At 36.3% G+C, this 27892-nt stretch overlaps 1 long non-coding RNA gene across 1 annotated transcript; it reads right to left on the reverse strand.

Moving 5' to 3' along the window:
• Positions 1–11677: 11677 nt before the first annotated feature.
• On the reverse strand, positions 11678–13047 carry LINC02013 (long intergenic non-protein coding RNA 2013). The gene is made up of 2 exons (NR_183762.1): positions 12284–13047; positions 11678–11883 (listed from the first exon to the last, which is right to left on the reverse strand). It is a non-coding gene; the product is annotated as a long intergenic non-protein coding RNA 2013 (long non-coding RNA).
• Positions 13048–27892: the final 14845 nt, after the last annotated feature.

A 27892-nucleotide genomic window follows, 5' to 3' on the forward strand; every position in this document is an offset into this window, starting at 1 on the left:
ATTTGGTGCTATTGTAAATGGAATGGCTTTCTTTAAAATTGTAATTTTAACTGCATGTGACTATAATATAGAAGTATAATAGATTATAGTAAATTGATTTTGTATCTTTCAACCTTGCTAAACTCATTTATCAGATTTAATAATTACTTTGTAAAATACATGGCCTGCATTTTTTAATAGCAACCACGTTGTCTGTGAATAGTTTTTTCTTTTCAATCTTTCTAACTTATTTTTCTTGCTTTATCACACTAATAAGAAACTTCAGTACACTAATGAATGAATTAGTGAAGGTAAACAGTCTTGCTTTATTTCTAATGTTGGAGAGAATAGGATGGTCATTTGATATTTTTCCAATAAGTATATTTGGCAGGTTAGGAATACCACAAGTGTATGTGCAAATGTTCATACACATTTATGTACACACACACACACACACACACACACCCCCTTATAGGACGAAGTTATGTTTACTTCATAGTTTACTGAGAGCTTATATTATGAATGGATGTTGAACATTATCAAATGCTTTTTTTCACTTATTGAGAAAAAACAATATGGATTTTATTCTGTATTCAGTTAATATGGCGAATCATATAAATTGATTTTCAAATGTTAAACAAATCTTATGAGGAAAACTAACTTAGTTATGTATTATATAACACATAATAATACTATATTATGTTATATTATATGGCATATATTATATATTATACATGAAGATATATATACAAACAATATATATAAAATAATATTTAATATATAAAGAATAAATATTTGAAATTCAGAATATATATCTCAGATATAAAATATATATCTTATTTTGTTTATATCTTGAAAATATTTTATACTATATCTAATGTATATTATAAAAATATATAATACATAAAGATATATATAACGTGTGATATATATCTGAATTATATATTCTTTTATTATGTGTGTGTACTATATTAAATACATATTTATATTATATATATAAATATTTCTTACGATAAACCATTGGAAACAATATGGGCCTAAGCATTTTGTGCGTGAAAAATTTTGATAAATAAATTCAACATATTTAATAATTTAATGGTTTGTAGATTTTCTATTTCATTTTCTGCTACTTTTGCTGAATTGCATTACTAAGGAATTTGGCCAATTAATCGAAGTTATTAAAGTTGTTGGCATAAAGCTACTTTTATATTGAATTATTAGAATTTTAGTGTCTTAGGATCTGTGTTGATAGCCCCTCTTTTAATTCTGATATTGTTAATTTGTGTGTTCTTTTTTATAGTTTAATTCTTCTGTGGGTTTATAATATTATTCTTTGCAATAAGCAATTATTCCTTTACTAATTCCTTCTATTTTTATACAATTTATTGGTGTTCTTGTCTTTGTTCTTTCTACCTATTTTTGGTTAATTTATTTTACTATCTTCTATCATTCAATTCAAATAAAAAATTATCCAAATCCCTACTAGCCAGCAAGATTCCTGCTGAGAAATTTGCTGATAATATAACAGGCATTCCTATGTATATTATGAGTCATTTTTCTCTTGCTGCTTTCAAGATTATCTGTGACTTTCAACAATATGTCTTGGTGTAGGTCTTTTTAGATTTATCTTAACTGGAGTTTATTGAGCTTTTTGAATTTTTGTGTTCATTTATTTCCTCAGATTTGGAAATTATTCGCCACTGTTTCTTGAAGATTCTCTTTCTCTTTCTCTCTTTCATCTCCTTCTAGTACTTCCAAATGTATATTCTTCCACTTAATGATGTTCCATAAATACCCCGTCTCTCTTAATTTTTATTCATTCTTTTTTTTTCTCCTCTGCCTCAGTGATTTCAAAAGTCCTTATTTTTGAGTTCGATGATTCTTGCTTCAAGTCTCTAATAAATTTTTCAATTCAGTTATTGCATTCTTCAGTTTTAGAAGTTCTCTTTGGTTCTTCACAGTTTCTCTTTGTTGATATTCTCATTTTGTTTATGCATATTATTTGTTTACAAACCACAGCTTCGTGCATATTTTTTTTAACTCTACTCTGATGTGCAAACTGGGGCATTCTCTCAGGCAGAAAGCTGCATCAATAAAAAGTTCACCCAAAACATTTCCCTTCTTTCAAGGGTATAATCACCTCCAGTTTATCTATTTTTTGTCACTCTTCAGTGCCTTCAATTATTTTTTCTTAATTTTTTCTAAAGTTTATAGTCGTTATCTGCAAGACTAAGATTAGACTGATAGTCTTCTCTATCATTATCAAAACCATATTCCCCTTCCTTCTCATTTTAATGTTATAAAACGAATTATGGTTATTTCAGGTACTTCAGATGAAGTATATAGTCTTATGAAATTAAATATAACTAGTATAGGGACTCAGAGACGAACTCCTTGACCATGTAACAATGAACTTCAATTATTAATGACAATGCGTTAACTGTTGAAGAAGGGTGGGAATGGAGATTACCTGCCTTTCTGACAGGAGGAAACGCATGTACAAAAGCTGTAGTGGGAGAAATGGTATTCTCAAGGAAATGAAAAAAGGTTGGTGTGACTAGAGCAGAAAGAGTGAAAAAAGAAAAAAGAACAATTGTCTGGACATATTCATAGTGGCTCAGACCGTGCAGAGCCTTATACTCTGTGTAAAATAATTTGGTCCTCAGTTTAAGAGTAATAGAGAGCTATGAAAGGATTTTTAAACACAAAAAGGGCATGATGAAATTACTATTTTGTAAAAATTGTTCTGGCCATACAAAAAAAGAATGGTTATGAAGAGGAACAAGAGTCGAGAAGAAAGACCAAACTGGAGGCTATTTCACTAATGGTACCAATGAAAGTTGAAATAGCTTAGATTAGCTGATGTTCATGTTTTGAGAGACTGCGCAGATTTAAGAAAACATTAGATAGTTAAAATGTTAGGACTTGAAATATAATGGTTAGATAGATAAATATGACAAAAGAAAATTGTTTCCTCTCACGTGGAGGTGATCTTTGTATGTTTTCTTTGATAATGTTCTCTAAATATATAAAACATTGTCTGCCACTCAGGAGGTCAAATTAATGAATGAAATGATAAATCCTATTTCTGTTGCACAACTGAATAAGTGATGTTACATTCCCACCAGGATAAGGAACATTGATGATACTGATAAAACATTGTTTAAGTTGCGGTTTTGTTTTGATTTGGTTGGAAAAATCATTAGTCCAGTGTTGGATATGTTGAGCTTGGAGTAGGTTTTAAACGTCCAAGTAGACATGTCAAGTTGGCAGCTAATTTTAAGATTCTGGAGTTCAGAGGAATGCTCTGGATTCATGTGCATACTGGGAATCATCTTCATTCAGTGCTAACAGAACCCAGGATAAAAATGAGATCACTTAAAAAGTATGCAGTTGGAAGAAAAAGAATGCTCCAAACTAGGTCATAACTTAATCCACCTTTTACAGGTTAAATAAAGGAAGAAAAAAATTCCAGAAGATTAAGAAAAAAGAAACATAGGAGTAGGAAAAAATCCGGGAAAATGTGGTATTCCAAAAACCAAAGAACTAGACATTTTTTTTTCAAAAAGTATTGCTAATTATAAGACAAGTAAACTGAAGACTGCAAAAATATCTATTAGGTTTAGTTGTGTGGAAGTACTGTCAGTATAAGTGAAACCTGTTTGTATCTCTTTCCCCAGTTCTTCTGTGTCTCATGGTATTTTATTTTCTAAAACAGAGTTGAGGCTCAGGATGCACCACCTCAAAACATGATTATAGGAGGCCAGAATATGCTACCCCAAAATAAACTTCTTTGGCACATTTTCAGCATGTTATTTTGAGGAATTGCAGGCATAGGAGAAACTATGAAAAGCTGGCCTTTTATAAAGGAAATGTACTTCAATAAAGGACATCTATATTAGTAAAAGTATCTGTATCAGGAAGAAGCCTGTTCTGAAATAACTGTTATTATCTGAGAGACATTTTATCTGTATATCAAGACAACTGTTATTCACAATACATACCCTCCCCTTACCTTCCCCCATAACTTGTCTCTACAAACCCCAGAAGCCCCAATCCCCTATTTATTTTTGTAGCTCAACATGCTATATAAGCTTCAATCATCTGGCCTTTCTTGGAGTCTCATATTTTTGTGGGACTCTCGTGCATATGCATGTCATCGAATATGGTTTTTCTCCTGTTAATCTGTCTCATGTCAATTTAATTTGTAGCCCAGCCAAAGAACATAGGAGAGTGGAGGAAAGCCAATTTTCCCTCCCCTTCAATGGAAACATGTTTAAGGATAAACACATGTCAAGTCTTTAAAAAGTTATTTAAGTATATATTTTGAATACATTAAAATACTGTTTAAAATTCCTGTTGAAAGGTAGGTACTTTGGGCCGGGTGCGGTGCCGCACGCCTGTAATCCCAGCACTTTGGGAGGCAGAGTCAGGTGGATCACCTGAGATCAGGAGATCGAGACCAGCCTGGCCAACACGGTGAAACCCCATCTCTAATAAAAATACAAAAATTAGCTAGGTGTAATGATGCTTGCCTGTAATCCCTACTTGGGAGGCTGAGGCGGGAAAATCACTTGAACCTGGGAGGCAGAAGTTGCAGTGAGCCCAGATCATGCCATTGCACCCCAGCCTGGGCTACAAGAGTGAAACTCCATCTCAAAAAAAAAAAAAAGTACTTTAGGCTTTAAAAAATGGTTACTTTCTGGGGTGCTTTCAAAAACGTCACGAGAGAGAGACAGGGCTGGATGGCTCATGCCTGTAATCCCAGCACTTGGGAGGACAGAATGGGAGGATCGCTTGAAGCTTGGAGTTTGAGATGAGCCTGGCAAACATAGTGAGACCCTGTCTCTACAAAAAACTTAAAAATTAGCTATGTGTGCTGGCTAGTGCCTGTAGTCCTAGCTCTTGGGGAGGCTGATGCAGGAGGATTGCTTGAGCCCAGGAATTTGAGACTACAGTGAGCTATGATTATACCACCGAACTCCAGTCTGGGCAAAAGAGTGAGACCCTGTCAAAAAAAAAAAAAAAGAGAGAGAAAGAAAGGAAGGAGGGAATAAAGGAAGGAAGGAAGGAGAAAAGAAAAAGGAAGGAAGGGAGGGAGGAAGGAAAGAAGGAAGGAAGGCAGGAAGGGAAGGAAGGAAGGAAAGAAGAAAGGGAGGGAGGGAGGGAGGAAGGAGAAAAAAGAAAAAAATAAAAGAAAACAGAAAAGAAAAGGAAAGAAAAGGTTTTGAGAGGGACCAGTGCTTCTACTACTTTTTTTCACCGAATACCCACTCTAATGTCATCTCTTTCCAATCTCTACCAAGACGTCTTTCGCTCATATTGTCAAGCTAATCGAGGCTGGTATATAGAGAGATTAAAAATATTTGCTCAAAATCTATTTTTATGGTTTTCTCAGCTCAAAATCAGCTGTACTCCATCTCTGGATTAGAATGTGTGTGTACTCTTTTGTGTGTATATTTAATAAAGAAGTTAGTATTTGAAGAAATAGCCAACAATTAAAGAGGCCTATTCTCAATGGGCTAGAGATATCTTACAAGGCTATGGTAATCTTAAGATCCTGTGGTGAAAATGTATTATAGAAATATTTTTATTTTACAAATCTGCAGAAGATGAACTTTTTACTTCAACCTAGTTACTGACAGCTCAAGGAGGCAATTATATATTTATAATTTATATGGCGGTATATAATGAGGAATAAACACCTCTTCAACTAAGAAAATGCCTTAATAGGATGAAAGAGGATAATATTAATAGCAACTAATATTTATCTTGCTCTTCATAGTTAATAAAGTGCTTTCACAAACATTATCTTGCAGATCTTCACAACATCTCTGTGGGGATGTATTACAGGAGTCACTATTATTTTAATTCTCTGCATGAAGAATCTGAGGCTCAGAGCAGTTAAGTGACCTGTTTATAGACCAAGAAGGAAGTGGTAAAGACAGGACAAAATATATATCTTCTGAAATTCTATGCTTCTTCTACAATCTCAAATCTCATATCTCCTACAATCTCCTATTGCCTCCCTGTGGAGAGCCCACAGAGAGAAGCCAAGAAGTTCTAGGCTGAGAATGATGACAATACTAATCTTATCTACACTGAGTTTAGGTTTCATGGGGTCTTTCCTATGACAGACTCTCCCTTGTTTCTTCCATTGGCCTAAAGGGTTTGTTGTTGTTGTTGCTATGATGGTGGTGATGATCTAGTCTGAGAGCTACTGAAGTAGCTTAGGTAGTTACCTGACCAGGTGACTCAGAAAGGAGGGAATGACCCTGTTTCACATAACACTCAAACCTTTGGGCTATTCAGTAAAGAGTAGCCTCCCTCTCATCTTCCTTCCTCTCCTGAATCTGCCTCTGCTCCTTTGTCTTACTTTCTCTTCAATATAGGAAATTTTAAAAGTAGCTTTAAAACTAGGACAAGTGGTAGAGCCGTGTTAGGAACTTCTTTGTGGAGCTGTATCAGATGTAATTTCGGTGCAGATTTTTCTAAAATAAATGGAAGGAGGAACTTTTCTTTGGTTAATGTAATCATGGACTTCAGCACACCAAAAGTGGAAAACAATTTTCAAGAAGAGTGGCCTTGTTAAAGGCTTCAAAGCTCTGTTTTCAGGTGATATGGGCTAATCTTCTAACTATTGTCTGCAGAAACTCACTAAAAGTACTGTCCATGTGTCTTAACCTTGGTTTTCTTGGGAACCTGAGATGAATGTGAAAGATGTATTCTCTACTGCTTTATTAGGGAGAGGGATTCCAGGAAGTAACAATGATGGACAGGGGGAAAATAAAAAACAAGGTGGGAGAGTTAATATGAAGATTTATTATCCAGTAGTCTACCACAAGGTTCACTGATTGGTCAGTCCCACGGGACTATCTTCTCAAAAACGGTACAAACTGTGTATCAACACAGTCTCTTCTGGAGAAAAAGGAAATCGTTTATACTCCAAGTCTCTGCTCCTATTGGGCAAACATTTCCCCTATAAGTTTTTAAATCCCCAACACTTCTCAGTTGCAGATATGTGGGCCCAAGTGGAAATTCACAGCTTCCATCTTCAGTATGGATAAGGAAGGCCCAACATGGGAGGCAGGAAGAGTACAGTGTGGATGTGAGACAAGGCACTGTCAAATGATACATGTGTGAAGTTAGCAGCCACATGGCTACAACTGCAACAAGAAGCAGATGGGACCAAAATAATCTAAAATGGTTCATAAACGGTACCTGATAGAGCCAACTGTAAACCAAAAATAAAATTCTAAGCCCTCCAACAGACTGAATGGATCCCTCCTCTCAGCCAAGGGCACTCCAAAGTAAACCTGAAAAACTAGTCCAGGCCATGATGGGAAGGGGGGCCAGATATGCCTCATTCATTATACCCTCTTCCCTTTGGAATTCAGACACAACTGACCAGCGTTAACATTAAAACAGAGATCTTAAGACTGACAAAACAGACTCTTTGTAGCAATAAGATACCAGATTCCAACCTGGTTCTAGCATAGCATCACATGTTAGACAGCAGGCCTTGAAAGAAATTGAAGTACCTTATTCCAAAATATATTTCTTTGACATATTTTTTAATGGCCCTAAAAAGCTGGTAGCAGGCTTCATCTATATAATAAGAACCTTGGTCTCAACAACCCCTTATCTTAGAATTAGAAAATCTTTGAGTACACCTATGACCTGGAAGCCCCCACTTCAAGTTTTCCCACCTTCCTGGACTGAACCAGTGTACACCTTACATGTATTGGTTGATATCTGCTTGTAATTTCTGTCCCCTTAAAATGTACAGGATCAAGCTGTAACCCAACCACCTTGGATACATCATGTTCTCAGAACATCTTGAAACTGTGCCTCAGGCCTTGATTACTGATATTTGGCCCAGAATAAACCTCTTTACATCTTTTACAGAGTTTGACTCTTTTTATCAACATCACCCAGTACACCACTCTGATTTCTCATTATTCTATTATATCTGACTGCATGTACCAATATGGAGTCTCATTTTTGTGAGAACCTGATGCCTTTACTTTTGTCCACTCTGTCTCCAGGTCTCCTTCTAGACATTGGCCACTTAAAGTCACTTAGATGTAAAGAGATTTAAGGTAAGATAGTTATTGATGTATACTCAAGTCTCTGCTGCGCCATTCAGCATTGAGGCTGTAATTGATACCCATCATCTTCCTTCTCTACTTCTTATTCTAGATCTCCCTTATCCTCAGCCAGCAGTTGGCTGGTCTGTGTCACTTGCCTGGTTAGTTCTAAGTTCTTAGTTTTCTTTCTGAGCTGTGGTTGCTGCTAGTGTTCATTGACTATTGTCAATGGATCTGAAATGAGTGTGGCAGTTCCAAATACTGTCATCCCTGCCTACATTAAATAGCAGAAAACATCACTCCTCGTGACAATCCAAATCGATTGGGTCCTTATTACATAAATTCCTTTCTTTGCTGGCTGATGCATTGTTTTAAGAGCCAAAAGAGCAGGTGGTAGATATAGTTTCAAGTTTATGATAAACCTTACTGTGGCCTCTGGAAGAAGTGTTTACTTTTCTGGGAACCAGAAACTCTTAACTTGGCAAAGCCTAAGATTGCAGTGACAAGCTTTACAAATTATGTAATTGGGGCCAAGAGGAGGAATGGTGAGAGGTGAGGATCTTATTTCCTTCCTTTAGTTCCCAGATGAATATATATATTTCCAGACAGAGCATTATATATTAACCTTTCCTCTGAAAAAAAAAGGGAAGGAAGAGGAGTACATTGTACATTATTTAATTTCCAATTGCATATGTTTTGTGGCTGCTTACTTTTTTTTTTTTTTTTTTGCATTGAAAATCTGAATCAGTTCAGCTTGGTTTTGGTTTTGGGGTTTTGGGTTTTTTGTTTCTTTGTTTCTTTGTTTTGCCTGATGACTGAAAAAGAAGGAACATAAGATAATATAGGTTGTGTGTGTGCACACGTGCACACGCACATTTATCTATCTTTCTATCTATTCAAATGCCAAGTCAAAGACTGTGAGAGTCTCTAAATGTTGGGTATCCAGTTCCTCCTACTCTCATAATTCCAACTTAAAACATCCTGTGCTTCTGGTTTAGTTTCTTTTCCTATCCACACCCCCATAGCACTTTGTTGTGATATCATAGTCTAAACTTACAACTTGTCCCTGTTATTTAAGGAATTCCCCACACACATCTGTGCATTTAGCTTAAAACAAGCTGTGGGGATTTTTGTTGGTGCGTGCTGTGTGGGTTTCCCAAATGGAGTCTTTATTTTCAACACCTACAGCTTGCTCAGTCCATTCTGATGCTGGGATGGTTTCCTTCTGTGAGTAAATGTCAGTGAAGTGCTCCAGGCAAAGCTATTGCCCTCATGAAGCTTATGAATCTGGTTTGTTCCCGGAATAGACCCCTTATGCCTACATGCAAGTAAACATTCAGATCAGGTATATTAGCTAATCCAGCTTTAGGAGATTAAAAGAATTGACTCTTGCTGCTGAAGGCTAAAGGACAAGTTTTGCCTCACATTATAATGCTTCACCCAAACCAATTATATACACATTTTTTGTGTGTGTATGTACAGGCATATAGTAGGTACAAAAAAATGTGTGTATATAATCTTATTCTACAAAAGTTCATGGGATCTACTATGAACCAGGAACTATGCTAGGAGTAAGCAGAAAAATACATAAATGTAAATGAGACATACAAACTTGTGAGGGTGATAGGACATACCCAATAAACATGATAACCAAAGACACAGTAAGGTAAATAAGAACCAGTGAAGAGTTACGGGTTTCTAATACCATAGCAGATGTAAAATCCTTTTAAACTCTGAAGCACTCTAACATGTAAGTTGGAGATGATCAGGCTATCCTTGGGTAACAAGTGGGTCAATATTTGGCTTTGGGGCCATTATCTCTTTCATTCTATGTTCTTTTTTATTCTGTGTACCTGGGGAGGTAAGGTTTGCTTTCAGGAGTCATCAGAATCTATTTCACTGCCAGTGTTTCATCATACGCTTTTTGGAGAGTCAATTTCCTTCTGAGGAGAGTAGTTTCACCAGCTAGCATACTGAACGTCAAAGCGTGGTACCTTCCTGTATTCGTACATCCCAGTATTATCTTTCTTCTTTGAAATTACACAAAAACATACATATAATTATATATATAATAAAATAAATATAATTAAGCACATATAATAATACATTTTTCTCAAGAGAACTCTTTCATGGAAACATAGTAAGAAAAGCAAATTACCTTAGTTGAATCGGAGGAAGTGCCAGAGCCTGCCTTACTCAGCCCTCTTTCTGCTACCCTCACTTCTCTGGGTAAACTCTGTGAAGCCATAATCTCGTAACCTGGTTTAAAACAACTCTATTATATAGCTTTTAAAACACTTCAAATTTTGGCATTCGTGAATCTGAGACTGATAATGCCCGTGTGACCCTATGTCTTTAGCTGCTCAAGCTTACAATCGATGGTAGAATCAATCTTGTGGCAGAGTTCCCAGCCTCCTAGGCTCCTCTTCGCGTAATGCTCTACCTACTCCCCTAATTCTCCAGTTTTGGCAACTGAAACCCTGCATATGGCCTGCTTCAGATCTCTGGTGTGGAAATGTATGAGATATCAAGTACTTTTAGCCCCTGAGTTTTCCCTGGACTTGGTTGAGCCTTCACCTCTGGCTCCCTGGTCGTGGATACTACGCTGAATTAGAAAATCCTGCCGGTTTTTCCCTAGTGACCCAGTCTCAACAACTAACTTGCATGACCAGTACATGAGCTGGGACTTCTCTAGCTCTCTGGCAGAAAGTATTTACACTAAAATCTTTGACAAAGTGTACTTCTCCTAAGAGTGCGGTTTTTTTTTTTTTTTTAACCATAACACGGAAGAAAACCTTAGGTTAATTTCTGACCTGCACAGCCTCAAACTAAAGCATGCCAGAATTGCAGGAGGATACGAAGAAAACAGAAAATTGCAGTACCTGAAATCTAACAGCTACCACCTTTACTGAGCTGAATGTACTAGAATTACCAGGGAACAGCTAGAAAGAAAAAATAATAATAATTCAGGAAAGGAAAAATGTGTGTTTTTGACCCTATTTCTTTTTGATGCAGGCTGTGTGTGGAAAAGAGCTTGAAAAGAATTTTATCTTGCTCCACCTCGTGGTGGATGCCTGCAACATAATAATTCTTATGCAGTTTCTTCCAAAACAAAAACAAAAACAGAAACAAAGACAAACAAAAAAAAAATCACTGTGGATCTCTTTGCATGTCTTAAATAAAAATTTTCTGAAATTGAAAATTGAATTGCAATTCTTTTGCAACTGTATACTTATAGCATAAGAATGGAGACATCTCAGGCATTCAGTACAGCAGAAAACTATATTAGAAATTATAGTTTAAAAATAATTTTTAAGACATTCTTGCAGTGAATATCAACAATTTTTTGGTACATGAGGAGCTTCTGCCCCTGTAGGAATAAGTATGTCTGAAACATGAAAGAAAGAAAGAAAGAGAAGATAAAAGGAAGGAAGGAAAGAAAAGAACAGAAGGAAGGAAGGAAGGAAGGAAGGAAGGAAGGAAATTAATTTTTAGAAATAACCAGGGGCTGATTTATGTGCAATATGATTTTTTTCAGAGTTCATAAAGGGGAATGTGTGCTCCCCTACTCTCTAATTCCTGACATTTTTAAATGGTTAATACGGGTCTTTTATTTAAATGATGTTCTTTTTTATTGGCACATGTGGGTCAATTTTCTCCTTTTCTGTTTTACTCAAACCAAAAGCTGCACTCTCGGCAATTTGTCCCTTACAGAAGAGGCTGTTTCTTGTTACAACAGTACCGTGCTGTGCTTCAGCCATCCATAACACGCCCACTGTATGTAGTCTCATAGGAGGCATTGCAGGTCCAGTGTCTAGCCAGAAATGAGAAGCAGAGATTGTTATTTTTTTTTTGAGGTGTGACTCACCCACAACCTTCTCAATTCCAACTAGTTTTGTTTTGTTTTCCTGTAACCTAGTTTTAAATATATTTCCAAATCAGAGGCTGCCCTCAAAATGTAACCCTTCACCAACAGAAGCTTGTCTGGGAAGATTCTGCAGAAACTCCTCTCAGATTTGAAAAAATAATGGATTGGAAAATCATGTTTTGGCCAGGGTTCAGCAAAGAAAGTTAGGAACTGGCTACCAACATCACAAGAAACAATACTATATATAAAGGTATTGGTGTATTGAGATAGCTTATATTATTATTCTAGGTAAGGTCATCTAGGGGAATCATATGCCTGCATTTCGGTTCTCTTTTGAGGTACTTACCCTGGGCAATAGGAAGTATGAGAGGGGTTACAGAGATCCTCTTCCTTGGGCAGGAACACGTTTACAGCCATGATAGACACTCACTGTGAGGAACATCAGGTGGTGTGCGTGTGTGTGTGTAGGAGAGGTTGATACTTGAAATAAACCTCCTGAACCATGCTAAGAAGTCCAAAGTATGATAACAAGTGTGGATTTATCCAGATGACATTGGAGTAACACTACAGTGTTTTAAGCAGGGAAATTACATGATCACATTTATATTTTATAACTATAGTAAAGCTTCCATGTGTAGAATAAACTGGAGGAAAGCATACTGAAAGGATGAAGACCATCTAGAAACATATTCAAAAGTCTAGGCAAATGATGGTGATATGCCTAGCCTAGTAGGATTATGGATATTGAAATTGACTGTATTCTAGAGATATTGAGGATAGAGAAACAACAAGACTTGGAAATAGCTTGGGTATCTCCATGATGATAAACAATAATTTGGAAAATACGGTCTTGTTTTAAGTCTTACTGTGAACACATGCAGCTATTTGCCTGTGGATTTGTGTTTTTCTGACTGTAGGAGCATATTGGGTCTACACTCAAGGAAAACTAGAAGTGCAATAGTTATTGCCCCAGAAACAACCCTCAACAAATAACATAAAGGAAGATGACAGATCAATATTTCACTTTCCTCTCACTCGATAATATACCCATAAACTCTGTCCCACTAGAGTTCTAGGGTTCCCCAGAAAGATTTAGCTCCAGTTACCAATAGTGGTACATGACTTCATAATGCCCCCTGCGCTAGAATTCTTCCATTTCCTATTTTACTTCTCCACTTCCTCCCTACTCCCCTACCAGCATTTCTTGGGAAAACTTGAATATTTGTCTTACTGTCTGTTTTGGATAAAAACAAATGATGAAAACTTTCACTACAAAGGGATGATATTGGGGTGGAAATGAAGAATTCACATTTGAGAAAGATGAGATCAAGATACTCTATTCAGGTTGTTGTAGTTTAGCCCTTAGGGTCTTTCTGGTGTCATGTTAGAAGACTGCTTCCAGAAGCCTAGTTTCTGAAGCTTTGAGCTAAGGATTGGCCATCTTTTGCTAATAGTCTTCTTAGATGTCTGATTTGTTCTTCCATGAGTGGTGAATTTGTTTTTGATTATGTCCCCTCTGTTGAATGAAATTTAATTGTATTATACAAATTGCATTAAAGAGTATTTCTGGTATCACGTTTAGCTTCTTACTTCATTTAGCTAGGGTAAAATATGGTACTATAACCTGAACTGTGTTCCTCAAAATTCATAAATGAAAGCCTTGACTGCCAATGTGACTGTATTTGGAGACAGGTCCTTTACAGAGGTAATTAAGATTGAGTGAGGTCACAAGGGTGGGGCCCTAATCTGATAGAACTGGTGTCCTTAGAAAAAGAGGAAGAGACACCAGGGCTGTCTCTTTTTCTTAGTTCTGACAAAGGGAAAAGGCCTCGTGAGAACACAGCAAGAAGTCTGCTAGCCACAAGCTAGGAAGAGTTCCCTTACCAGGAACAGAATCAGCTGGAGTCTTGACTGGGATGTCCACCCTTCAGAACAGTGAGAAAATAAAGTTCATATTAAGCCACCCAGTCTGTGGTGTTTTGTTATGGTACCTTGAGCTAATACATATGGGCACATTAATGTTTAAATGAACGTCTTTACTTTATTTCCAAACTTCAGTATTTTCCTTCCTACATTTTAATTTTCTTTTTTCATAATGTTCTTTCATAAGAGAATGAATTTTGGACCCAGATCATCTGTTACGTTGGTCAAATTCCTTAACTTTATTTGAATCAATTTTCTCAAATGTCTGAAGATGATGATACTAATATTTGCTTCCCCGTCGGATGGCTGTCTTCAAAATAAGCACTTTAATTATAATAAAGGCTGGAAATAAAAATATTTCTTTTATTATTGCTGTATGTTTTCAATATTCTTCAATATCTTACATGAATTTTTTTAAAAAATTAAGTTGAAACTTTCTATTCCTGTCTTATTTTTCAGACATAGCTTTTTCCTGTCTTCCGTTCCACTCCTTCTCTAGAATTTCTTCTTGCCACACACTTCTTTCCCCTGGGTAGACAGAGCCTCACAAGCTCATCCTTATTTTTCCTCACAAAGCCTTGTCAAACAGACCATCCATTGAGATTCCTACTGGATCAATTGACAATTGATTCAATTTGGTCACTAGGCAACATATTTTAGGAAAAGAATGTTGTGAATGCTGTTTTTGCATTTATTTTCCAGGATTAAAACCTTCTTCAAATAATCTGCTTTGTTCCAGGATCCATGAAAGCTTGAAATAGCACCCACACCGTCTGCACTTGCTTGCCCTTTATGCCATAAATTCCTTCTAAACATAGACATCCATGTCAAGTTGGCATTGATATAGGATGCAGATTTATGTGTTTAGAAGTAAGTCAAGAAAGAAAGAACATTTGGAAAGACTATCAAGAAAGATGGGTTGTCAGAAAAAATAAAGAAAAAAGAAAAAAGATAGGAAAACTAATGAATGCTAAAACACACTACAACAGCTTATCAGTGTGAGTTAGCTCTTCATGTTCTCGTAGTCCGTTCTAGAATTGGGACCTTCTTTTCAGGCTCTTTTTCAACAATGGCCACTGGAGGGCATTGCCAGCCAGCAGTGAGGGAGGTTTATAGCAAGTCCTTAACAGGGAAAGTTAAGGTATAAAGGTCAGATGTGGCAATAGCGTCAGACAACAATAGGGCAAACATGAAAAACTACAACTACGTGTCTCAGAGCAAGATTTTGCTGGCACTTAGACTGAGGTCTAAGAAAGAGTTGTTGAAATATGGTGGGTGTTTGCCCTAGGTTTTATTTTCCCTTCTCACTGTTAACATTGATGTTGTCATTTATTTACAGCTTTATGGTTGCATGGGCCTCATATCATTTGATCAGTATGTTCTCTAACAGTTTGGTCTAAATTGAGTTTCTGAAAATTTGAACCTGTCAATGAAGATGGCTGATCTCCATGAAAAGATGGCATAAGCAGGTCTCTTCAAAATGGGAAAAGGTCCTCTAGGAAAGCAAAATGTTACTTTAACATTTGAACATACCTGCAAATTTCTTATTAAGTTGATTTATAGTGTGACACATCAATAAGGTACTTGAGGCTTGATTCACTAGACTGATATGCCACTCAATCGGGCAGTCATTTAGCTTATTCACCACCTCTACTCGGGGGGCCAGTGATGCTTCCTCTGATCACGTTGAAACGGCGCCCATGTGAAAGCCCAGCACCATGTTACATTTCCATTCTACCTTCTCTTCTTATGCCTTGGAATATTCAAATCAATATTCTTCAAATTTCAAGTCTATGGGAAAGGGTGGTATTTTTAAATTCTAATTTGTTTTAGTGTGCATATGTGTGGTTTGTTCATGTAGACGGCTTTGCCGTTTAATCTCAATTCTTGGCAAGCCAGTGTTAAGTGACTGGTTTTACACTTGGTGTGACTGAATGGGTACTGAGGCTCAGCTTGCCTGAATTACAAAGGCCATCGAGATGTTCTAACCTCATGTTTCTGGAGAAGTTTTCAATTGGCTTTTAGCACTATATCATCCTGGATTGCCTCTGATATCAATGACTACTTCTGTCAGTTTCCTTTACTTTCCTCTCTGCTGTTGGAACAGAAGCATGCCCAGAGATCAGACATTGAACCTATTTTCTTCTGGGTCTGCCTCACTTTCATGGTGATATCCTCCAGCCTCATGACTTTTAAAACCACCTATAGGCCAATGACTCCCAAATTTATATTTCCACTCTGCATCTCTCCCATATACTCCAAATTCCAATTTCCAAATGCCTACAACTCTACTTGAGTGTCTGATAGATGTCTCAAACTTAGTATGTTCAAAACCAAACTTGATCTTCCTTCTAAAGCTTAGTTTTCCCTTCTCAGTTTATAGCAGCTTGTGGTTTTCTGTGTGAAAAGGGCTATGTAAACCAAAATAAAATTCTGAGCCCCTAACAGACTAAATGGACTCCCCTCTTCACCAAAGGGATCCCAAAGAAACCTGAGCAACTAATTCAGGGCATGAATGGAAGGTGTGGGAGGGGATCAGACATGCTTCATTAAACCTTTCTCCGTTTGGAATTTGGGCACAACTGACCAGCATTAATAATAAAACAGAGTTCTTAAGACTGACAAAACAGGCTCTTTATAGCAATAAGATACCAAATCCCAACCTGACTCTGGTATAGTGTCACAGGACAGAGAGCAGGCTCTGAAGGAAGTCATAGTGTTTTACCCCAAAATATATTTGTTTGACATATTTCGAAATGGCCATGCAAAGCTATCACTTGGGGGGGAAATTTGAATTCTGTAGAAAATCTTTTTCCCTTACTAGATCTTTTCTGGAGAGGAAAGTCTGATACCATTTAAGGTCTGATCAGAGATGTTTACTATCTATTCTTTTTGAAGCCTGCTACCAGAACTTCATCTATATGACAAGAACCATGGCTTCCCTTAAGAATTTTTTTATGCTGACTTCAAATTCTTTAGGCAATGCCTAACTCTTTCAACCAAATCCACTCATGACCTGGAAGCCCCCACTTTGAGAAGTCATACCTTTCTGGGCTAAACCAATGTTTACCTTAAGTGTACTCTTTTATGTCTTTGCCTGTAACTTCTGTCCACCTAAAAGGCATAAAACCAAGGGTATACCTCTCAACCCTGAGGCACATGTTCTCAGGACCTCCTGAGGCTATGTCATGGGCCATGGTCTTTAACCTTCACAAACTAAACCTTTAAATTGACTTAGACTGGTCACAGATACTTTTTTGGGTTACAGCTAGAATCATCCTTGACTCGTCTCGTACCTACATCAAATTCATAATCCGATCTATAATTAAATCCAGAACCAACGATGCTCACCGCTTAATTGGGCTTTAAATGTCATCCTTTCTCTCAGATTATGGCAACAGCCTCCTTGCGTCTACTGTCAAGTCCCCTAACAACATGGCAGAGGTACTACGTAGATTATAAACCTTTTTCACTATGCATATATAAGCAGGACAGGCCAGGCAGGTTTTAATGGGAGAAACACACACGTTAGAGGGGAGATACTAAGGACACAGATGAGGAACACTGTGATGGAAATGTGAAAGGTGAAATATTTAGTTGAGATTGAAAAGGAATCTAGTTGTTGAAAGAGGGATGAATGTCATCAAATTGGAAAAATCTGAATGACTTAAGGAAAATATTTATTGCTTGCATAGATAGAGATATTTACAGCTTACAGAGTGTTTTCAAGTACTACTATTTCACTCAGTCTTCACCCTTTTGTACTAATGTAAGTAGAAAGAGATAAAAAAAAAACTGGGTCTCTAGAAGGTTAAGGGATTTTTTTCGAGGTCATGAAGTGTGAAATTGAGCCTTAAGTCACAGGAATTTCTTACTATACCTAGAACTAGTGGTAAGTTTTCCACTGGCCCATGGCAAAATAAGAAAAATAGGAACAATGAAGTAAATTTTTCATAAAGCTAAAAGTATTTCATTCAAAGAGGTATTCTTTATTTTGAGATTATATTCTCCTCAATCTTTGATGTCATAATGTTTTTTATTTTAAAACAATAATTAAGAGTATTTATAAATGTCTTAATTGGTCAAAATAAAAATGAGTTCTTAAAAAGCATAACTATCTATCTATGCAAAATCTGGGAACTACTGACCTACACTCATGTCTCAGGTAAGAAAACTTGAGAACCAGGTTGCATTCTCATTAACATGTTTTCTTCTAGTCAGTATCCGGGCTTTTGAAACTGTCTATTTTTTTAATATCTATTTAAAGCAAAGGAATAATTCTAAAGCAAGAAGGACTAAATGGGAACTTTCTGTATGTGTGCCTCATGTGTGATCTTCCTTTCTGGCTCCCTGCTTTCATTTAGGAATTGAGACTATAAAAATTTAAGTGTAAAAAAAAACTTATTATTTTATTAGATGAACAGTATTATTCACGTCGCTAAAGAGCTCAAAGGAAACGATGATTACATTTTAGAAAGTTGTCTCTGTTCCTATTAAATTATTGCTAAGTGTATGTATTTTTCTACCTCTTTTTCCTAAATTCTACTGAAATGATGTAATAGATACAAAAATACATCCACAGCAGTGTGAGTACTTGGACAAAAATACCACCATTTTATCAGAGCAGTGAAAAGTTTCTGACAATAAATAGCACATTCATTTATTTTTTCAACAGCTATCTACTGAGGATGTATTGTGCCATTCTAGGCATATAATATAAATGCCCATTTGTTAAAAAGAAATATGTCGGATTATGATAAATGCAATGTAAATAATAGATAAGTTCATATGATAGAAAAATGACTTGGTGGCTGCTGTAATCTGGGTAGTTACGGAAGAGCTCTTTGAGAAACTGATCTCTTAATCGACAGGTAAGTAAGAAGGAACTAGCTGTTTAGATATCAGAAAGAAAACTTTCCTGAGAGACAGAAAAGCAGTGCAAGGGCTTAAAATGTTTGGGGATCTAAAAGAATGCTAGTGGGGTGATGGTAAAGAGTAGGTCATAGGGGGAAGAAGGACCTAGATTATGTAAGCTTTTAAAAGCCAGACAAAAAGTTTATATTTTATTGTAAATAAGATGAGAAGCAACTGGAGAAATGTAAGCAGGAGAGTGGTATGGTGTGATATGTTATTTTAAAAGACAGCTTTGATTGGTTTTTGGAAAGTGAAGGTGGTATATAAATTTGGATGATTTGGCTGTAATTACGGACAAGGTAATTTAGTCTATATAAAAGTGTTAAAACTACGATAACTAATAACAAATCCATAGATATGACATCTCAAGGGTCGTTTATTCAGTGACAGCAATAACATTAAAAACTACAGCCTTTTAACCTTTTCAATCTGACATCTTTGGTGTCTTGGCTTTGTCCCCATGGTTGCAAGATAGCTGCAGTAGTTTCAGATTTTAAATGCAGACATGGCAACACCCATAGGTATAAGCTTCCCAATAGACCTTCACTCTGACCAACCTTTTCTTTAAAGCCACAAAGAGTTACGATTTACATGTACAGATTTATCTTTACAGCAATAAAAATGTAAATTGGAGTGAAAAATTATTCATTGGCCAATATTTGCCAATTAGGATTTCAAATATGAGTAACTAAGAAAGTTGTACATCAAAAAAAGCAAATAATTAAACTCTAAGTCTTAAGTTAGGAACCAGAATAACCCTAGATATAATTATTGTCCTTTAAATTTTTTTGAGGATACCACATTCATAAAAACGATCAGACTGTTTTGAAAGAAAAATAAGACTTCAAAAATAAAAATACAAATGCAGAAACAAAAAACAGATGGGCCAAAATAGCAGAATGAACACAGCTGAATACGAAATTTCTAAACTAGAAGGCAGAGCCAGTCAAAAAAAAAGTGGAGATTTTTGCAACCCACAGAAATACAAAATTTCAGTATATTTTAAAAAGTGAAAAATAATAGAGATCAGATTTCTTGACTATAATGTGATGATAGTAAGAAATTAACAGCAAAACGGTAGACAGATGAAGATGATCCACTTGGAAAATATAAAAAGAAGACAACTAAAAAGCAAAACTTTGGATAAAGAGGGATTGAAAACTACAATTATAGGCAATTACATGGCGTGCCAGCTATGCTGGCTGTATCTCTGAGACATGTTGATTATTTGCTGAACATACAATAGCAGCATATATGAAAATATGTAAGATTAGGCCAACGCAATATTTAGAAGAAATTATGTTGCCGTAAATACATTAATTAAAAAATAAAAATGATTGAAAGTAAATCAACTATGCATTCAACTCGAGAAAAAGAGAGACAAAACATACCTAAAGATAAGATGGAAGTTACTGAGCTAAGAAGCACGAGAACATGCTCATGGGGTCAGGACTGAATGAGGCTTACTTTGTTATTAAATCTTTCTCACTGAAGTGTCACCTTACAACTTTCTCTGTGCTGCAAGATCCTTTATGCCATAAAAACTTCGTTTTTGAAAGTGACACTTAGCTAAATTTGTCCAGAAATACTGTGAATAGTAATGAAAAGGTAGGTCAGAGTGGGGTAAAATAGAAGCAAATATTTCATCCATGGATGAATGATCACTAGGGAATAAATGTCTACTCAAAACGTACTGTGGGCTCAGAGATGAAGTGTGAGTTGGTCCTATAGATGCCTCACCTATGGTACTTGGCCAAAAAATGAGGGTGGGAATGAATCATACTTAGTGTGAAAACCGATAGAAAATGACAAGAAGCTTGAGATGTCTAATTTCAGGAGTATTACTATGATACCTAAATATAGGTGATTTTAGAATGCTTACCAATAATAACTTGTTTTAGTGTGATCACAGGTCATTGGAGCCTCAACCTCCTGGGCTCAAGCAATCCTCCCACTTCAGTCTCTCGAGTAGGTTGGCCTACAGGCATGTGCCACCATGCCTGGCTATTTTTTTTTTCATTTTTTGTAGAGATGTGGTCTCACTATGTTGCCTAGGCTGATCTCAATGTCCTGGAAGATTTTTAAGTGATCTTTCTGTCTCAGCCTCCCAAAGTGCTGGGATTCCCAGCATGAGCCACTGTGCCCAGCCACAACTTTAGTTTTATAGTACGTATTCATAGTCCTTATTGTTTATAGAATATTATCATTCTTTTTGCACTAGGAATTAGTTCCTGTATGGAAGTTACTATGAAACAAAATTGTGTTCAAAGTAAAGAAAAACATTCAAAAGTCTAAATTATCAGGTGGTAAGGTGGCTTCCTTGGTAGTTGAGAATTTTTCTGTCTCTCAAAACATTAAATAATGGCTAGCAGATCGCTTATAGGAAATGTTAGAGAGGAAAGTTATTTATTGAGTGGGATGGGGAGAGGGGTGACCCCAAATTCCCTTTACATCCTGACATTTTAGGATTTGTGTTTCTGGTGTACCCCACTTACTATATATATATATCAAAGGAGTCTTCTACTAATTAGCTTCCAAATAATTCTGTCTAAGCATAGAAAATAGTTGATCTAGTATATTTTCTAGTCATTCCTAGCCCTTTCAAAGATTCTACAGTTTTAACCAAAAAGAAATAAGTAATGTACATTGCTATGGTTTGAGTTTGTCACCTCTGACACTCATGTTGAAACTTACTCCCCAATGTACCAGTATTAAGAGGTGGGGCCTTTAAGAGGTTATTGAGTTATGTGCACTCTGCCTTCATGAATAGATCAATCCATTCATGGATTAATGAATTAATGGGTTATCACAAGAGTGTATCTGTTATAAAAGCCCATTTAGCAAACTTGGCTCCTCACCATGTGATGCCCTGCATTGTTTTGGAACGTTGCAGAGTCCTACCAGCAAGAAGCCCTTCACCAGATACACTTCCTTGCCCTTGGACTTCCCAACCTCAGAACTGTATGAAATAAATTCCTTTCCTTTACAAATTACCCAGTCTCAGGTATTCAGTTTAGCAACAGAAAATGGACTAAAACAGCATGCCTTTATTCAAATATGGTTGTTCCATATATTCTGGACTTTCCAGCAATAGCATTAAATGGCGTTGTACATTTTGAAGCTGGAACTTCTTTTAAGATATTCTGCTCAGTTTCTGACAATAAATACAACATAATCCTACTCATATTATTCCTGCCTCATCACCAGTGCTTTAAGCATACCAGGTATGAGTGATGTTGCTTTGACTATTATGGCAAAGCCAGCACAATAGATCACATTAACATGGTGACACTATAGGATCATTTACATAAAAACACTTAACATTTGTTGAATATTTTCTACCTACCAGGCATGATTCTAAGTACTTTACATTTGCTGGCTCGTATAATCTTCAAAACAGCACTACGATGTTGATGCCAATTTTATTTTAATTTTACTGGTGGTAAAATTGAGGCAAAGAGAAGTTAATATACTCAAAAGTCACAAAACAAGTGAGAGAGAGAGCGAGCGAGCTCAGATTTAAACTCAGAAAGTTTAAATTCCAATCGCATGCTCTTTTTTATCATTTCTACTTTAGATGATGTAGTCTATACCAGGGAGAAAAAGATTTCAAGAAAAGGAGAGGAAAATAACAAGGGGCAGTGAGATGGAGTGGAGAGAATATTGCACTTGTAGCCAAGACTTTGTATTTCTCGTTTTGACATGCCTCTGTTTAATTTTTAGTGGACCATTTAATGGCTGATCGTCATCTATAAAATGCAAATTGACTGCACGCCTCTTGATTTAATACTCTTTCTTTGTCTCATTCTAGACCTTTCACAAATCAACTTCACATGAATGATCTCATCTAAGTCTGACAGAAATTTTCCAAGAAACTTGAGGTTCAAAATAGTGGAGGCTCCCACCTCCACTGTCCCACCCACTTGGTTGCACAGATGGTAAGGATCTTCGGACTCCAAAGGCAGTGTCTCTTCCTCCTATATTCTGCTGCCCTATTTTATGTATATAAAAGCATTTTTAAACTGTAAAATAACTTTCATAGCTAAAGTGGCATGTAAAGGTGGATTGGTAAGGGTTTCAGCAGAAGAAGGTTGCAAAGAAAGAATAATTCTTGGATTTATTTGGAGGAGCCAGACTAGTTTACATGAAAACCACATGCATTCTTAATTAATTTTGTTTAAATCCCAGAACAAATGCTAAACTGATGGAAGAATATGCTGCTTCTCTGTGCTCCCGTGAATTCCTTATTTTGTAGCATAAAATGATAAATGTTTGAACAGCTGCAATTATAAAGTTAAGAAACCATACAACACACATACACACAAACACACACAAGCACACACTTTTTTTCTGTCCAGGATTGTGGATTGGAACTGTGCCACAGAAAAGAATCCATGGGTGACAAATATATTTTCATTCATTATGCTGAATCCCTTGCATGGCATAACTTTCTCTGTGGGAGGTTTACCTCAAGAATGGCAAAAAAAGAAAAAAAAAAAAAAAGAAAGAAAAAATGTGAACAAACCAGCTTTCTTGATTTATTGTCTTGGAATAGTTTCTGAGATATTGTTCTCCTTCGGGTACAAGCTAAATATTTTTGCAACAATTGAGGATTAATGGGAAGGAGTTGATGGGTGGAGACAGCTCGGCCTTAGTCATTGTACAAATCTTTAGTTTGCATTTTGTCTTTGTATACTTAAGCAGCATGAATAGAAGGGGTTGTTATTTCTTATTTAACTTATTTTAAGCACATGTGCTGTAAATATATACTGTTATGCAGGTAAGCCTGTGTGCCTATTTAATTCGTACGCAGTCATTGTAAACTCTTTTATTGGTTATATATTGGAAATCTGAGAACTCAGTTCTTGGTGTTCTGGGAAGTACATGAAAACTTACAGTGGGCTGAACTTCCTTGTTGTCTGCTGAAAATGAATGAATGGGCCTGAATCTGCTCCTTGCTATTTACTGAGATATACGTAAATCATATAATATCATATGGGATGGAATTAAGAGAATCATAGAATGTCAGATTTGGAAGAGACCTTAGAGCACATTATCACAACTTTATTGGTCAGGGAAACAGAGCCATTGTGGGTATCATGTGAATAAGGGATTTAATATAAAAACTAGACCTCATCCAATATTATAAGAACTGAAAACGTGAAGGTCTAGAGGGGAGTTGGAAACGCCAAGAAAAGTTCACTGGTCATTCAGCCTTTAGGCACTGGTGTGAGCGGGCAAACAGGAGCTTTCATGGAAATCCAAGAAATTTAAGGACTACATAAAATTTGAACAATTGTACTTGTGATATATTGAAACTTCACTAGGTATCAGGCACTATGCTAAGCATCACACATCTTGCGTCTCTTTTTCTTACTGATTTTAAAATTATTTTTCAATTATTTATATATAAATAAATATGGAAATCTATACATAGAAAAACTGAGTGGGAAACACCAAAGACTCTGTAAGAAAAGCCGCGTTGTCATCAGAACAAGGATCCTAGTAGAAAATAGTTTAGGTAGAGTCTTTAGATCATAGCATATTTTTCAGCTTCCTTTTGAAGTTATAAGAATTTCTTTTGGAGAATTAAATGGGAAAGGTAGTGAATGAGCCGAGGGAGCTATAGAAAGCTCCACAGTCAGGCATCTGACAGATCTATAAAGTGAGCCGAATACTGGATATCTGGCATGAATATGGTTCGAGAGTGGGATGGTTTGATTTGTTTTTTCTTCTAGGCTCACCATGACCAACTTCCAGCTCTCAGAAAATTTCAGTATGGTAGAGTGAATGTCCTCAGCTGACAACAGTGCATAGAAGCAAGAGTGGGGACTTCATCAGCATATGGTCCAGGTTAATAGTAACCTGAGCCAGGTATCCCAGAGCTGAAGGATTCTTAGTAGTAATAGCCATTAGCATATCTGTTTCTTGGGTCACACTGCTTAATCTAACTGGTTGCTCTTTACGTCTGTTCAATTGTCATCTGGAATTGCCCTTCAGCATAACCCTGAGGATTCCCCTTACTTGTCCCCTGTGTTAGATCCGCTAGATCCTGTATTGAAGTGAAAGGCAAAATCAGAAGCTTTCTGAGCAATGGTTCATGAACTTTACGTTGTGAACTAAACTAAAATGTTTTCATTATATTATCAGATTTTTAATTAGTCTAGATTAAAATTTTAGGTTTTTCATTATTTAGTTTAAAATTTTGAAGGCATTGCTCAAGCACTGTTTTTTTGAGAACTACAGAGACACTTTGAATCCCAGTCTTACATATGATATCTAATTTTATTTTCTCTTCCTGGAAGGCTGTAAGATTTTTCTCTTTGCATCCTATGTTCTTGTATTTGCTCAATTTGGATGTGTTTTATTCCACTTATATCAGTTAGTATTTATATACTATATACTATATTTATTTATATTTTATAAGTAATTTCCTTTTCTTTCTTTTTTTGTTCTATTTCTAGAGGTCCTCTCACTTATATGTGGGACCTCCTGAACTCATTCTGTAATTTTTAATATTTTTTCCCATGTTCTATTTTCTCAACTTGCTGTTCTATTTTCATCATTTCCTAAACCTGTTTTTTTTTTCCAAATTTTCTATTGAGTTCCTCACCTCTACTATTACATGTTTTTGTACTTTGATTTTGTTATAGCACTTCTTGTTTCATGGCTGGCTGAAATGTTTTTCTTATTTCTCTGAAGATTAAAATTATAGTTTTACTAAAGTTCTTTCTGTTTTCTGTTCACACAAGCTCTGTTCCTTCCAAGTTGTTTTTTATTCTGTGTATTTCTGTCTATATCTTTTATATTAGAGGTGACGTTCGGACATTTGTCCATCCTTGGCAGTTGTCATTTCCTCTTTTTTTTTTTTTTTTTTTGAGATGGAGTCTCACTCTGTCACCAGGCTGGAGTGCAGTGGTGTGATCTTGGCTCACTGCAACCTCCGCCTCCTGGTTCAAGTGATTCTTTTGCCTCAGCCTCCCGAGTACCTGGGACTGCAGGCATGCACCACCATGGCCAGCTAATGTTTGTATTTTTAGCAGAGACGGGGTTTCACCATGTTGGCCAAGATTGTCTCGATCTCTTGACCTCATGATCCACCGGCCTTGGCCTCCCAAAGTGCTGGGATTCCAAGTGTGAGCCACCTCTCTCAGCCCATTTCCTCTAATGAATCAGATCCAAAAGTGGATTAAATTCTCTGAGTGCTTGGCTTGGCTTGTTACCCGTAAGGAGACTTGCTTGAATTCTTGATATGATGTTAGTCTTTCTCCTTAGACTGGTAAGGTTGAAAGAAAAGTCTCTTCCAATATTGTCCTTGTATATTTGTGTCTTAAAACATCTCTTTAGTGGTTTTAAATGTGTGTGTGTGTGTTTGTGTGTGTGTGTGTGTTTAAGGGAGAAATGTGATAAAAGGGCTTTTAATTTTTTTGGAAACTAGGATGTCCCTATTATCTTACTAAGCCTCAGAGCAAATAACAAATTAAGATGGGGGAGACTAGTGGGAAGTGTTTTCTTTTCCTCATGGAAATGAGTTTAAAGGGTTTTATGACTTGTCCATGTTCTCACAACTGTTGAGTGGATAAATAAGAATCTGAATGTGGGGAAGGTGGATTTTATAGACACTGACTAAAGAAGATGTGTGCCCTGGGGACAAAATAAAGCCTAGATAATAGCTTCCCTGACAGTTTGTGAGGATCTGACAGTTTTTGGTCTATATAAATGAAGAAGGAATCAATAAAAGAGGTATATCAAATTATATAATCAAGTAAGCAATATTACTTGATTATATAATTTTTGAGTAAAGATTTTAGTCTCTTTAACCAGAGAAGCTTGTTCAAAATCTGTTAGTTCTACTTCAAAAATTAACTTCAAGTCTGTGCATTCCTCTCCAACTCCACTGCTACCTTTCTAGTCTTCAAATAATCACTAGTATTCTCTTGGCTTATCACAATAAACCTCCTACCTGATGATCTCACCTCCATTCTTCATCTCTTCTTACAAATAATGCATATGGAACTGAGAAGAGTCTTTTCTAAAATTTATATCATCCCCTTTCCTGGCTTAAGATGTTTTAAAGTTTTTCTATAACAGTAAAAGGTAAAATATAATTCCTCAGCATGGTCCATAAGTCCAGAATAGGCTGATGTTTATCCACTTTTTCAACATCAGCTTTTGCTTCACTCACTATGTTCCAATCATAATTGTTTTATTTCATTTGAAAAAGTGCTGAGAGATTTCCTGCTTTAAGGATTTTGCTTATGCTATTCTCTCTGCCAGGGATGCTCTTCCTACTACTGCCAATTGATTGACACTTCATAATTATTCTTCAGAACTTAAATTCCTTTTTTAAGAGTCTGGCATAATCTACTCCCTGGGTGAATTATATTCTTTGTTTCTTTTAATGTTTCAGATTATCTACATGTAATAGCTAAACTATCAGAAAAGAATCTGGAGAATCTGAAAAGTCATTCTTTTCATTGTGTGTGTTTGTACTTTTCCAATCACAATGTCAGAAGCATGTTATCAGATGAGAATGTGCTTTTAATTTGCAAAGTAAGGTTTTAACCCACTTTGTGTGAGATAGTGAAGTGTACTGAAACAGCATTGGGGGCTTGGGCTTTGCTGCTAAGTTGAGGAGTCACCATAGACAAATTAAATTGCTTCCATGGACTTCATTTCCTCTATCTCTGAGGTACAAAGATTGGATGGAGACAATTCCTATAGACCTTTCTGGCTTACTATTCCAATGGTGCTCTATGCTAAAACTTGGCTTTCAAATGATTTTCCAATACAGGCATACCTTATGGATACTAGCAATTCAGTTCCAGACCACCGCAATGAAGTGAATTTTGCAATAAAGTGAGCCACACAAAAATTTGGGTTTTCTTGTGCATATAAATATTATGTTTATGACATACTATAGTCTATTAAGTGTGCAATAGCGTTATGTCAACAAAACAATGTACATACATCTTATATAAAAATACTCTTGCTAAAAAATGCTAACCGTCAACCTGGACCTTCAGCAGGTCCTAATCTTTTTGTTGGTGTAAGATCGTACGTCGATGTTAATGGTTGCTGACTGATCAGAGTGCTGGTTGCTGAAGGTTGGGGAGGC

This window comes from Homo sapiens, chromosome 3 (assembly GCF_000001405.40).
Source record: "Homo sapiens chromosome 3, GRCh38.p14 Primary Assembly".
Taxonomy (NCBI): Eukaryota; Metazoa; Chordata; class Mammalia; order Primates; family Hominidae; genus Homo; species Homo sapiens.